Genomic DNA, 14,485 nt, shown 5'->3' on the forward strand with positions numbered 1-14,485 from the left:
AGGCAAAAGTCTGTCATGTGTAGGTGAAGATGTGGAATAACTGGGACATTTAGACATTGCTAGAAGAAACATACTGTTAAACTATTTTGGGAAGCAAATTTGCACCATCTAGGTAAAAGTGAATAGAAATGATTTCCTATGACCCAGTAATTCTACTCCTAGATGTACACCCTAAGCAGACTCTCACACATGTAGTCACAAGACATATAAAAGAATGTTCACAACTGAACTATTCGAGGGAACAAAAAATGTCCACCAACAGTAGAATAAACTGTGAAGTGTGAATGTAACAGAACAACATACGACATGGGGCAATCTCAGAAAGGTAATGTGAAAAAGAGAGCTGCTGAATGCGTACAGTAGGATCCTAGCATATATGAAGCCAAATACATTGTTTAGAGATGCAGGCAGGTGATTGAGAACAAAAAGGCAGATTATGATAAACACAAAATCCCTCCTCCTGAGAAGGGAGGGATTAAGATGTGGATGGGAAGGGGCACACAGGAGACTGTAAAGCTATTAGTTGAACCTAATGGGTACACACACATGTACCTACATGTACACTAAATTATTTCTTATATTTCATGAATATTTTATAAATTTCCCTACCTATTTTATAAAAATAAATTTTAAAAAACTTCCATACTCTTCAGAAGTGGCAATAGTCAAAAGACAGTGAGATGTCCAAATAAAGACAATTGTATGCCATAATTGAGCATATCCATAGGTGTACTGAGATTGCCTAAATTTAAAAAGAAGAAGACAAACATAAAAGTCAGGCCATGGGAGAAAAATGCTTAATTACATGTAATTGTTTATTTAAAATAATTTTCCAAGTCTTCCAATGATTTAACAGGCTTTGCTTCACTTTTATCATCTCAAACAGCTATAAATCAACACACTTTTTGTATTTTATTTTACTACTATGTATGCTATTTTAATAACATTTTTCTTTATTAATACTAGAACCAAATATATTGACCAATAAGCAGTATAGATTTAAATTATCTTCTTGGGTTGGTCTGAGGTTGCTGATGGATTCTTGGGATTGATCTGATGCTAGAAGCTATCTTAGGCCCTGTCTCTAACTCACTGTATGTTTCAGGCAAAACATGCCACGGTTCTAGGTCTGTTTTCTCATCTGCAAAATAAACACCCAAATTAGATGATACTTACTGTTTTAACTAGCTATAAAATTCCAATACTATATTCCCCATCATTTTCACTTACTTTTACTTAATCTTTATTTGCTACTTTTCCACCTATAAAGCGTAATTTTCCATATCAAGTAAACATAAATTCATTAAAAAATAAACACAAACCCAAAATATTCTTATTCTAATATATCTGCATTAATAGATAAAAAGGCTTTAGCTTTAATTTTCATTTTTCATTTCTACCTCTTAAAGTCAATGATAAACTCACAAGTGTAAAATGAATGCATTTAAAAACATAAAAGATACATTTCAATGACAAGAAATATGCAATGATCATGAAAATCTACTGTACACTTTGCCATGGTCAAAGAATGAAGGACAATATGGAAAAGCCAATCTTCAAATATATCCTTAACAAAAACTCTCTCCTGCATAGTAAAAGCATCATCTAAACAGCAGCTCCAACCAAAAAAAAAAAAAAAAACAAGCAGGGGAGATGGGACAGATAACTTTCTCCAGGTTTTCCAGATAAAAACATGTGGTCACCAGGAATTCAAGGTAACTAGGTACTTCAAAAGCCACATTTAATTCAAAATAAAATGAGCATTTCTGACAGATGACAACAGTATGAAACTGATTTTTTTCTTTCCTAGATACAAAAATGATATGGGGCATTTCTTAACAGTTTAGTAATCGTCTAAGAATAATTGTAGAAATAACCCCAATTCCACCATCCCAGCCACTGGTATAAAACAAATACCTTCCATGAAACTGTCTTTCACATAACTAAAATATCCTCACTTACTTGGAACAATTTCATGCTTACACATGATCACAAACATTTGTTTTTAGATGTTGTGGAATTACTGGAGCTGAGATTTCTGAAACAATATCTGAATCTTAGCAGAGAGATAATAATCCTTTCACTATACATTGCTTGGGCTTCCTTAACCAAATCTGAGTAACTACTGTAATAATAATGCTGGTGGTAGTCCATGATACTCTCAAATTTTTCCCTTTAAGAAATATATAATCCATGTAACTCTAGCAAATATGTTACATTGTACACTTTCTTAACAAGGAATGGCTGTTTTCAGGCCTTATTAGGAAAACAAACAAACAATGGCAGTTACTACCTGTTTTTTATCACTGATAAGCTAAAATAAAGCTCAAATATGGACAGTTTAACTGTGTGATATTAAGTAAAAAATGAAAACCATTATAGTTTTACCAAAAGAAACACAAAAAATATGGGAAGGAGTGAAATGAACATGGCATAGGTCCCAAAGATTACACTATGATTCTGAACAGCATTTTCAAAACAAAGGGTATCTACATACAATTTCTGTGAATATTTCTTATACTAGATAGATCAAAAGCAAATGTAGGCTCAGCCCTACCTTGTCAAAGATAAATATTCAGATAAACTAGAAGTTCCATCTGCTAAAGTGCATCCGCTGACCAGGTCTACCCTGGCCCTGCTACTTACAGCCATCCAAGAAAGTGGCCTCACTCATGCTCATTCACTCGTTCTGTGTCCTATCAAGAGTCACACATAACAATGGTTTTGCTTTTTTTAAAAAACCAAATACTTTATACAGTGAACTACAGAAAAAACAATTCTAAATATACTTTTAAAATTCTATAGAGTTAAGATAACCTCATTTTTTTAAATACTGAAAATGTAAAGGGTCCATATAAAGAGTTGTATTAAGTATAGACTTTGTTTTAATAATTCACTTGCTGTGCTCTTAAAATCTCTATGAGAGAGGCAGATATTTTACCCATGTCTTTTGGCAAGAGATTCAAAAGCAAAAGTAGCAGGGCTGTAAAATTTCATAAAATTTGTGGGATTTTTTAAAGCTAAATTATTCAATATCTTGTATTGTTATTGCACTCATATATTGCCCGGAATATATATACAGCAACCCAACAACAGTGATTGCAACAAAAGTAAGGTAAATAGTCTACAAAGCATTTGACTTCCTTATTAGATAAATGAAGTTTTCATAGAGGAAATGCAAACAACTGCAATTCAGATCAGGTTATATAAGCTTAACAATTATTTAAACCATATATAAAATTAAATCTAAACCTCATCACTACAAATCTGTAAGGAATCAGAAAAGGATTTATAGTACACAAGTCTTGACTACTGTTGCATTCCACTTTGAAATCACTCTGAGCTAAAACAACATTTTTCCAAGATTTAAAGAAAAATAGATTTTATAAAAGGGATTCTTTTATTCACTGAATACATCATTTGTGTTACTGACAGAAACAAGTGATTTTTTTTCCACTATAATTTGCTCTGATGAAAGAAATAATTCTCTCTTTTAACTCCTAACAAATGCTACATTTTCAAGACTAAAGGAATTATCAGTAGGCATTTTTCTTCTTGATCTAAGTTATTTGTCTCTAAAATATGTCAAGTAAGCTTTTAAAGATTCAGGGAGGGGCAGCTTCATGATTTTTTCTCTCAGTAAATTTTGAGGTGGCTCCTCTGGCTTCATTGCTTCATTGTGATCTTTTTCCTCCTCTTCTTTGTTATCCTCTTCCATTTTTTCATCCTCTTCACTGTCTAGAGGCTGAGGAATAAGCTGATTACCCACAAATACGTAAGTGTTAATTCTCTGTTTAACTCTCTTTCTTTTCCTTTTGGGTGGAGCCCTTTGAGGAATCCCCTTGGCCTGCATCTCATCATTTATGAAATTTCTAAGTGTGCGTCGAATGTAAATACGAGCCAAGTCCTGTAGATTCCTGACAGCACAGGGAGCTAAAAACAAACATAAAACGCAAGAAAGAAAATATTAACAATAAAACATTATCTATTGTTTATTTTTTTCATAGAACAAAATGTGTTTCTTAGCATATTTTAGAAAATACAGAAAATATGAAAACTCTACCTTTCATCTAACAAAGGTTTTGGAGTAGTCATTATATGCCAAGGACCGATGGATGGCACTGAAGTTAAAATGTACAGGGGCATGTGTGTGTGTCTGTGTGTTGGCATTTACATGCATAAAAGTTCTCTGGAAGCATAAGAATTTGGAAACAGGGTACATGACTGTGAAGTAATTAGGAGACAAGACCAGGAGAGAGACTATCCTGTGTATCTTTTATACTTTTTGATGTATAAATCATATGAAAAGTACTACTTATTCATAACAACAGATGTGAGATCCCATCCCCTATGAAGTTTTTGTTTGTTTGTTTTGAAACAAGGTCTCACTACAGCCCAGGCTGAAGTGTGATGGCACAATCATGGCCTACTGGAGCCTCAACCACCCAGGCTCAGGTGATCCTCCTGCCTCAGCCTCCCAAGTAGCTGGGACATAAGCACACGCCAGCACACCTGGATAATTTTTAAATTATTTGTTGAAACGGGATCTCACTATATTGCCTAGGCAGGTCTCTTTAACTCCTGAGCTCATGTGATCCTCTCATCTCAGCCTCCCCAAATATTGGGGTTACAGGTGTAAACCATCATGCCCGGCCCTCTACATGTAAAAATACACAAAAACCATCTGCTCTGCCCATCTTCCAAAATTGTTCACTAAGTTATTTAACATTCATCATCAAGTAAGTATTAACCTATATCTGCCAGGCACTGTTAAAGAACCCATGCAGACACACTGGATGATTTAGACTACCAAGTCTGCACTCCCTGCACTTATGCAACTTGCATAATCAGGGAGGAGTTGCTAAACAAAAATCAATTATAAAGAAGAAAAATAAGGAATACAAGAAAAAAATCAAAACGCCAATGATATGATAGAAAGTGGGGTTCTGGTTTTGTTTTTTTTTTTTTTTGAGACGGAGTTTCACTCTGTCACCAGGCTGGAGTGCAGTGGCGTGATCTCAGCTACTGCAACCTCCACCTCCCGGGTTCAAGCGATTCTCCTGCCTCAGCCTCCCAAGTAGCTGGGACTACAGGCATGTGCCACCACACCAGTGTAATTTTTTGTATTTTTAGTACAGATGGGGTTTCACCATGTTAGTCAGGATGGTCTCAATCTCCTGACCTCGTGATCCGCCCACCTTGGCCTCCCAAAGTGCTGGGATTACAGGCGTGAGCCACCGTGCCTGGCCCTGGTTGCTTTCTATTGGGTGGTCATAAAGGTCTCCCTGAGAAGATCCTGTCCTAGCTAAGATCTAGATGATATAACAGCCATGTAAACATCTTGCGGGCAGAGGGAACCTAAAAGGTAAATGAGCTTAGCATGTCCAAGGAGCCGAAGGAAGACTAGTGCAGATGAAGTTGGGAGCACGAGATCAGCTGGAATATTTTGGTAATCCACTAGAAATATGAACACACTCTGACGGAGGGTGGCAGTATAGATGGGAGAGATGGACAAATTTCAGGTATAATATATTTTGAAGATAGGATGGAAATGGATTGGCTGTAGGGGATGAGGGAGGGAAAAAAAAATAATCAAGGAAAACATCTAAGGTTTTGGCCTGAGCAACTGGGCAGATGCTGATATCAGTGACTGACATGACAAAGATACAGGGGAGAACAGGTTGAGAAGAAAATTTTAAAGTGTACTTACTTTGTGTTAGATGTGAATTGTCTATCATTTATCCAAAGTGGAGATTTCAGAGATAATAATAACTACAATGTTATACTCGTCACCATTTTCAATGTTTTACAAGTAATAACTGAATGCTAGGAGATTACGTACTGAATGCAGGTTTTGACTGCAGAGTGTGTGCTGCCTTTCCCACCATAAGCCACCATAAGATTATGACTCTGGAGCTCAGGGGCAAGGTCGGGGCTGGAGATGCTAATCTCATGTCATCAGCCCATCGTGACATGCAAAGACCAAGAGTAGAAGAAAGCACCCAGAACTAAGCCTGAGAGGGCTCTGTAAAGGGACAGAGTGAAGAATAAATCTACCCTAAAGTTTTAGAAATTATAAAGGAGCTAGGAAATAGAAACTATATCAGTCTTTTCCGCTGATCTTGGCTCTTGAATTTTTCTGTTACTGGTATTCTCTGTCAACACTGTAATTATGTTCTTCCTTTGCCAATACTGTAATTATGTTCTTCCTTTGCCAACACTGTGTGCTATTCCAGCGATGTATCTTTCAATCCTAAATCATCAGAGGAATACCAGAAATTTATCAAGACCAACTGGACCCAGCATGGAAAAAGATTCAGACTTGACTTCAGTAGCTGCTAACACTCAGGACTCCTAAAGTAGCATTCATGTGAGCTTCATTTAAAAGTTCTTTTGGGCCAGGCACAATGGCTCAAGCCTGTAATCCCAGCACTTTGAGAGGCTGAAGCAGGTGGATCACTTGAGCCCATGATCTTGAGACCACTCTGGGCAACATGGTGAAATCCTGTCTCTACAAAAAAGAGAAAAATTAGCCGGGCATGGTGGTACACGCCTGTATTCCCAGCTAGTCAGTAGGCTGAGATGGGAGGATCATCTGAGTCTGGCTAGGTCGAGGCTGCACTGAGCCATGGTCATGCCACTGCACTCCAGCCTGGGCAATAGAGTGAGACCCTGTCTCAAACAATTAATAAAAAAAAGTTCTTTTGAATGACACAAAACCTTTTAGATAAGTCTCAGTCCTAATTATTTAAACATCCTCCATATTGTCTATTCCTTAACGGTCTCATTTCCAATGCCTCCAGTTATGAGATTAGGATTTAACAGATAAGACAATACTAATCCTGACTGCTAGGAAAACTTATTTTAAATTTAAATAGAAAAAGAAGGAATCCTCCCTAACTCATTTTATGAGGCCAGCATCATCCTGATACCAAAACCTGGCAGAGACACAACAAAAAAAGAAAATTTCAGGCCAATATCCCTGATGAACATCGATGCAAAAATCCTCAATAAAATACTGGCAAACCGAATCCAGCAGCACATCTAAAAGCTTATCCACCACAATCAAGTCTGCTTCATCCCTGGGATGCAAGGATGATTCAACATATGCAAATCAATAAACGTAATCCATCACATAAATAGAACCAATGACAAAAAACCATATGACTATCTCAACAGATGCAGAAAAGGCCTTTGACAAAATTCCACACCCCTTCATGCTAAAAAATCTCAATAAACTAGGTATCGATGGAACGTATCTCAAAATAATAAGAGCTATTTATGACAAACCCACAGCCAATATCATACTGAATGGGCAAAAACTGGAAGCATTCCCTTTGAAAACCAGCACAAGACAAGGATGTACTCTCTCACCACTCCTATTCAACATAGTATTGGAAGTTCTGGCCAAGGCAATCAGACAAGAGAAAGAAATAAAGCATAGTCAAATAGGAAGAGAGGAAGTCAAATTGTCTCTGTTTGCAGATGACATGATTGTATATTTAGAAAACCCCATCGTCTCAGCCCAAAATCTCCTTAAGCTGATTAGCAACTTTAGCAAAGTCTCAGATACAAAATCAACGTGCAAAAATCACTAGCATTCCTATACATCAATAACAGACAAACAGAAAGCCAAATCATGAGTGAACTCCCATTCGCAATTGCTACTAAGAGAATAAAATACCTAGGAATACAACTTACAAGGGATGTGAAGGACCTCTTCAAGGAGAACAACAAATCACTGTTCAAGGAAATAAGAGAGGGCACAAACAAATGGAAAAACATTCCATGTTCATGGATAGGAAGAATCAATATCATGAAAATGGCCATACTGTCCATAGTAATTTATAGATTCAATGCTATCCCCATCAAGCTACCACTGACTTTCTTCAGAGAACTGGAAAAAACTACTTTAAACTTCATATGGAACCCAAAGAGCCTGCATAGCCAAGACAATCTTAAACAAAAAGAACAAAGCTGGAGGCATCACACTACCTGACTTCAAACTATACCACAAGACTACAGTAACCAAAGCAGCATGGTATGGTACCAAAACAGATATACAGACCAATGGAAGAGAACAGAGACCTCAGAAATAACACTACACATCTACAACCATCTTATCTTTGACAAACCTGACAAAAACAAGCAATGGTGAAAAGATTCCCTATTTAATAAATGGTGTTGGGAAAACTGGCTAGCCATATGCAGAAAACTGAAACTGCACCCCTTCCTTACACCTTACACAAAAATCAACTCAAGATGGATTAAAGACTTAAATCTAAGACATAAAACCATAAAAATCCTAGAAGAAAACCTAGGCAATACCATTCAGGACACAGGCATGGGCAAAGACTTCATGTCTGAAACACCAAAAGCAATGGCAACAAAAGCCAAAATTGACAAATTGTATCTAATTAAACTAAAGAGCTTCTGCACAGCAAAATAAACTATCATCAGAGTGAACAGACAACCTACAGAATGGGAGAAAAATTCTGCAATCTATCCATCTGACAAAGGGCTAACATGCAGAATCTACAAAGAACTTAAATTTACAAGAAAAAAACAACCCCATCAAAAAGTGGGCAAAGGATATGAACAGACACTTCTCAAAATAAGATATTTATGGCCGGGCGCGGTGGCTCACGCCTGTAATCCCAGCACTTTGGGAGGCCGAGGCGGGTGGATCATGAGGTCAGGAGATCGAGACCATCCTGGCTAACAAGGTGAAACCCCGTCTCTACTAAAAATACAAAAAATTAGCCGGGCGCGGTGGCGGGCGCCTGTAGTCCCAGCTACTCGGGAGGCTGAGGCAGGAGAATGGCGTGAACCCAGGAAGCGGAGCTTGCAGTGAGCCGAGATTGCGCCACTGCAGTCCGCAGTCCGGCCTGGGCGACAGAGCGAGACTCCGTCTCAAAAAAAAAAAAAAAAAAAAAAAAAAGATATTTATGCAACCAACAAGCATACGAAAATGCTCATCATCACTGGTCGTTAAAGAAATGCAAATCAAAACCACAATGAAATGCCATTTCACACCAATTAGAATGCAATCATTAAAAAGGAAACAACAGATGCTCGAGAGGATGAGGAGAAATAGGAACACTTTTACACTGTTGGTGGGAGTGTAAATTAGTTCAACCATTGTTCAACCATTGTGGAGGACAGTGTGGCGATTCCTCAAGGATCTAGAACTAGAAATAACATTTGACCCAGCAATCCCATTACTGGGTATATACCCAAAGGATTATAAATCATTCTACTATAAAGACACATGCACATGTATGTTTACTGCAGCACTATTCACAAGAGCAAAGACTTGGAACCAACCAAAATGTCCATCAATGATATGCTGGATAAAGAAAATGTGGCACATATATACCATGGAATACTATGCAGCCATAAAAAAAGGATGAGTTCATGTCCTTTGCAGGAACATGGATGAAGCTGGAAACCATCATTCTCAGCAAACTATCACAAGAACCAAAAACCAAACACTGCATGTTCTCACTCATAACTGGGAGTTGAACAATGAGAACACATGGACACAGGTAGGGGAAGATCACCACACCAGGGCCTGTCAAGGGATGGGGGGCTAGGGGACGAGAGGGATAGCATTAGGAGAAATACCTAATGTAGGTCATGGGTTGATGGGTGCAGCAAACCACCATGGCACATGTATACCTATGTAACAAAACTGCACATTCTGCACATGTACCCCAGAACTTAAAATATAATAAAAAATAAAATAAACTTTTACTCCAAAACTACAGTTCAGGTTATCTCTAACACACACATTAGGCTCCATTTGTTTCCCAAAAGGTAGGCTGTATGTAGATTGTATAGGAGCCTAGGAGTCAGAAATCATTTTTGTTAACAAAGATTGAAAACGGCATTTTATTTACGTTGAACCATATAAAACTAATGATTTGGGGGTCTTTTATGACCTTCAAAAACAGCAACTTCATATAGCTCAATGTGATATAGTCCCAAAATTTATGAAGTCTCTTATGCCCCTGAACTTTAAACAATGCATCTTTCTTTTTAGAATGTCTTCTCCTCAACCCCAAACAAAAAAACCACAGAAAGAAATAGGATTTTTAAATGTAATAAAATTAGTGGTGAATCAAGATGAAAAATTATGACTCCACTTTAGTAAGTTGTTTAATATGAGCAACTTGATTACTACAAGATACATTTGGCAAATAATTTATATATATATTATTTTTGGGATTTTTGGAGTCGCGTTCTTTCATATTTTAATTTCCTGCAATTAAGGAATAATGTCCTCTCAACAGAAAGCTATTTTAACTTACTTCTACACACCCACAAAAACTTATTCTCCATACATCCTATTAAATTTTGGCAAATATCAATTTTCAAAACTATTTTCATGCTCTGAATATTACTATATGAAGCTTTTATTTTTTAGAAATTCACATAATTCCTGACTTATTTTTATAAGTTACTGTTGGTTACTGATGACTTTTCTCCTTATTGTAGAATTTCAAGTACAGTAGTCTCCCTTTATGCACAGTTTCACTTTCCACGGTTTCCGCTTTCTATGGTCAACCAAGGTCTGAAAATATTAAATGGAAAAATTGAGAAATAAGCAATTCATATGTTTTAAATTGTGAGCTGTTCTGAGTAGTGTAGTATAATTGCATGCTATCCTGCCTGGGATGTGAATCACCCCTCTGTCTACCATTTCCTCACCATACATACCACCCACCTGTTAGTAACTTAGCAGCTGCCTCAGTTATCAGATAAAAACACATAATATATATACAGGATTTTGTACTATTTGCAGGCCCAGGCATCCCCTGGAGGGTAATGGAACATACCCCCAAGAAAAAGGAGGGATGACTGTATACACAGAAAAGAGTCAATGGTTTAATAACTCCCATATATCTGGGCACTCAGCTTCAACAATTATCACTCTTCCCATCACCACCCCCAGATTATTTTGATGAAATATTTACAGATATATCATTTAGTCTGTAAATATTTCAGAGGTATAATGGATTTTTTTTAATTTAGGCTCCTCTCCATTTTACCCTATTCTATTGAATTTATTCCTATTTTACATTCACAGTTACAAATGTCATTCAATCCAACCAATGGCAGTCTTACCAGCTACTCAGATTTGTGTTGAAATTCTTAAAATGAGGCAAAATGCAAGTTGTGCATTCACAGCATATTATCTGTCATTAATGAATTATGTTATTATAAAACCATATTTATAACCAAAATGCTTCTAAAATAAACTAAGAAAACTATCAGATAAAAAAATGGAATGACTACTGATAGAATTCTGAGATTTTAACAGTGTCAGTTACAAAGTAAAATAGATAAACAGCTGCTGCACAGAAATCAACAAGGGATTCTATAAGCATTCCTAGGTATGATACTTATGGTTGGGTCACGGTCAAAGCCAAGCTGTGTCAGAAAATTTTTTTCATTACTTCCTTTTATTACTTCCCATCAAGTTAGGATAATTTAAACAAAATTATCATAAACTATAATTCTAGTGTTTGAAAACTAGGAAGGAGAAAACAGTTTTGTTACTATTGTTGCAAGAAGTAGGGACCAGTAACTACAGTATAGTCTACTATAATAAATAGTACTAATATAGCATAAATATATAGAGTACACAGATAGTCCCTGACTTATAATGGTTCAATGTAGGATTTTTCCACTTTACAATGTGTTTATCAGGATGTAACCCCACCTCAAGCTGAGGAGCTCCTTATGTCTCATGATGGGGTTCTGGTTTCTACTAAACAAGTATCACTTTTGCAACCAAAGTAAGGTCGAACCATCCTAAGTTGGGGACCATCTGCTGTGTTGCCAGCATTAAATCCATTTTCCACTCACAATATTTATGATTTACAATGGGTTTATCTGGCCATAGTTCCACCATAAGTCAAGGAGCATCTGTAGTCTACTAAAAAGTAGACTTCATGGAAATAATCATATAATGCATACACAGCCAAGTGATAATCACTGATTCTGGTGCTAGAAAGAAATGGATGTCCTGTACTTTTCTGTGTCCCAGAGAATACCCAGTGATACCAGTTTTTGACTAGACAGGAAGTTTAAATAAACATTTCAACACAGTAACCTCATGTTTCCAGTCTCCCTTATGATAATCCTTTGTTTTTTATCATTCTTATTTTACCTTTCATTTTCTTGTTTTATATGGATTGTTATATATGGATTAAAGTCCTTTTTGTAAGTAGCGAAAGTATACGTTACTAACAAGTATATTTGAAAAAACTGGTTGCTAACATTTTCTGAATTACGAAAGGTTGAAAATTTTTTAGAACTGACTGCTTAATTTCTTTCTAAATGAGATCACAGTAAGAGCACAGAATCAGATCTATGACTCTCACCAATCTGTAAAAAGTGGTCAACAAATCTCCTTTGATGGTGGCTCCCATTAGAGAAAAATGCTTACAAAGCACTCTCCCAAGGTCAAGCTGAAGAAACATTTATGCCACTAACACTCTCAGCAAGCAACACTCACCACAGAGCCATGCAAGCCTCTCTGCATCATCGCACACATTCTTCCCAAGGGTGGAGGAACGGCTAGGCTTGTATGTTTCAGGTGTGTAAAAAGCAGCTGGCCATGTTTGGCTGTCATTCCTTTCTCTTTTCCTCTGGGATGTGCCTACTTTAGTCTGGGAGTCACACACATTGACTAGGCTCTATTCACCATGTATTTACAGGTAGACTCCCATGGTGGCAGGCTGGTGCCAGTGCCTGAAACTGGGTGGGTGGTTGGGTCTGCCTAATGTAAGGGTTGTGAAACCCGGTCTCTACTAAATATAAAAAACTAGCCGAGCATGGTGGTGGGAGCCTGTAATCCCAGCTACTCAGGAGGCCGAGGCAGGAGAATTGCTTGAGCCCAGGAGGTGGAGATTGCAGTGAGCCGAGATCGTGCCACTGCATTACGGCCTGGGTGACAGAATGAGACTCCATCGTAAAAACAAAACAAAACAAATATTACTCCATATAGTTTTCACAAACACCCAAAAGTCCCAAAGTCATGCAGCTCAAAAGAGAGTAGAATGAACACTGAAAAAAAAATTGTATCTTTCTATAAACCCAAATTCCTATGCAATAAGTTCATTTAAAAGGCAAACTAAGTCAAGAGGTTCCTTTTTGGTAAAGAATTTTACCTCATGGTTAAAAAAACTATGATCTAAGTCAAACCAATTAATACCACCTCTCCTCTCCATTTCAAGCTCTCATTTGCCCCATTAGGTTCATCACTCCCTCCTTGAAACTTTTCTTTCTTGGTTTTCAACACCCTGGGGACCTGACCCTAGTTTGCCCCCACCACCTTTGTTGGCCCCTCCTTCGCTAATCCATTTTCCACCATTTTATCGCTAAATTGGTGGACCTCAGGTCCAACTCCAATATCTCCTCTTTATCTCCACTCTCCGCTAAATGATCTCATCCATTTCTATCTAACCCTAGCCTAAAATGCCATGTTCATGTTGAGGGGTCTCCATTTATAACTTGCTCATGAAGCAGGTTCGTGCCACCTGACATTTGTCTGTATGGTAACAGACAACTCAAACACGGTGAAAGGAAAATGTCAGACCTTTCTATGCCTATTTCCAAATTATGCCACTTCCAGTCTTCCTGGCAACAGTAAATAATGCCAGCACTCAGCTAGCCTCAAGGGAAAATGAATTCTTCTTTTCCCTCTACCCACACTCCCGAGTCAGCTATTCTTCTGCCTTTAGACAACACTATCCACACCAACATCCACTCTCCTGTGGGTGTAAGAAAAGCCACCTGACTGGCCTGCCTGCCTTTTTTTCCTATGATAATCCACCCTCCACAGGCAGCCAATGAGCTTCCACCACTCTGGACCTTATGCCTGATCTGGGAATGACCAAAGTTCTCTTCAGCCTAAAGCCTTTTGTATTTATTGTCTCTCTGTATGAAAAAATGCTGCCACTAAATCTTGATGTGGCAAGTTCTTTTATATCACTCTGGTCATAATTTAGATGTTGCCTTGGCAGAAAGTTCTTCCTTACCACCATACCTACAGTAGATGCCCTTCCCACAACCAGTAACTTGCCACCACATCACAAACTATAATTAATAAATTTGGTTTTGGTTTGACCTGCCCCTTCTTCTTATGTTTCCATGAAGGTAGCTAACAGTGTCTGGTACAAGGTGAGGGCTTTATTTTACCAAAAAAAAAAAAATTGAGGCCCAGTGCGGGTGGCTCACGCCTATAATCCCAGCACTTTGGGAGGCTGAGATGGGTGGATCACTCGAGGTCAGGTGTTTGAGGCCAGCCTGGCCAACATGGTGAAACAGCGTCTCTTCTAAAAATACAAAAATTAGCCAGGCGTGGCGGTGCACACCTGTAATCCCACCTACTTGGGTGTCTGAGGCACAAGAATCGCTTGAACCCAGGAGGCAGACGTTGCTGTGAGCCGACATGGCACCACTGCACTCGAGC

General features: G+C 37.9%; 1 protein-coding gene across 7 annotated transcripts in view; it reads right to left on the bottom strand.

The window, feature by feature from the left end:
• Nucleotides 1-789: 789 nt before the first annotated feature.
• Nucleotides 790-14,485, bottom strand: part of PCMTD1 (protein-L-isoaspartate (D-aspartate) O-methyltransferase domain containing 1) — an 81,612-nt gene continuing 67,916 nt past the window's right edge. For 4 of the 7 annotated variants that reach the window (XM_047421325.1, NM_001286783.2, NM_052937.4 and 1 more), the window contains one exon: nucleotides 798-3,933. In XM_047421325.1, the coding sequence (XP_047277281.1) occupies nucleotides 3,566-3,933 (368 nt within the window). In that variant the 3' untranslated portion in view covers nucleotides 798-3,565. Of the gene's footprint in view, nucleotides 3,934-10,143; nucleotides 10,577-14,485 lie in introns of those variants that run through there. The other 3 variants (NM_001286782.1, NM_001363193.1, XM_047421324.1) reach the window with 3 other exon arrangements.

This window comes from Homo sapiens, chromosome 8 (assembly GCF_000001405.40).
Source record: "Homo sapiens chromosome 8, GRCh38.p14 Primary Assembly".
Lineage (NCBI taxonomy): Eukaryota > Metazoa > Chordata > Mammalia > Primates > Hominidae > Homo > Homo sapiens.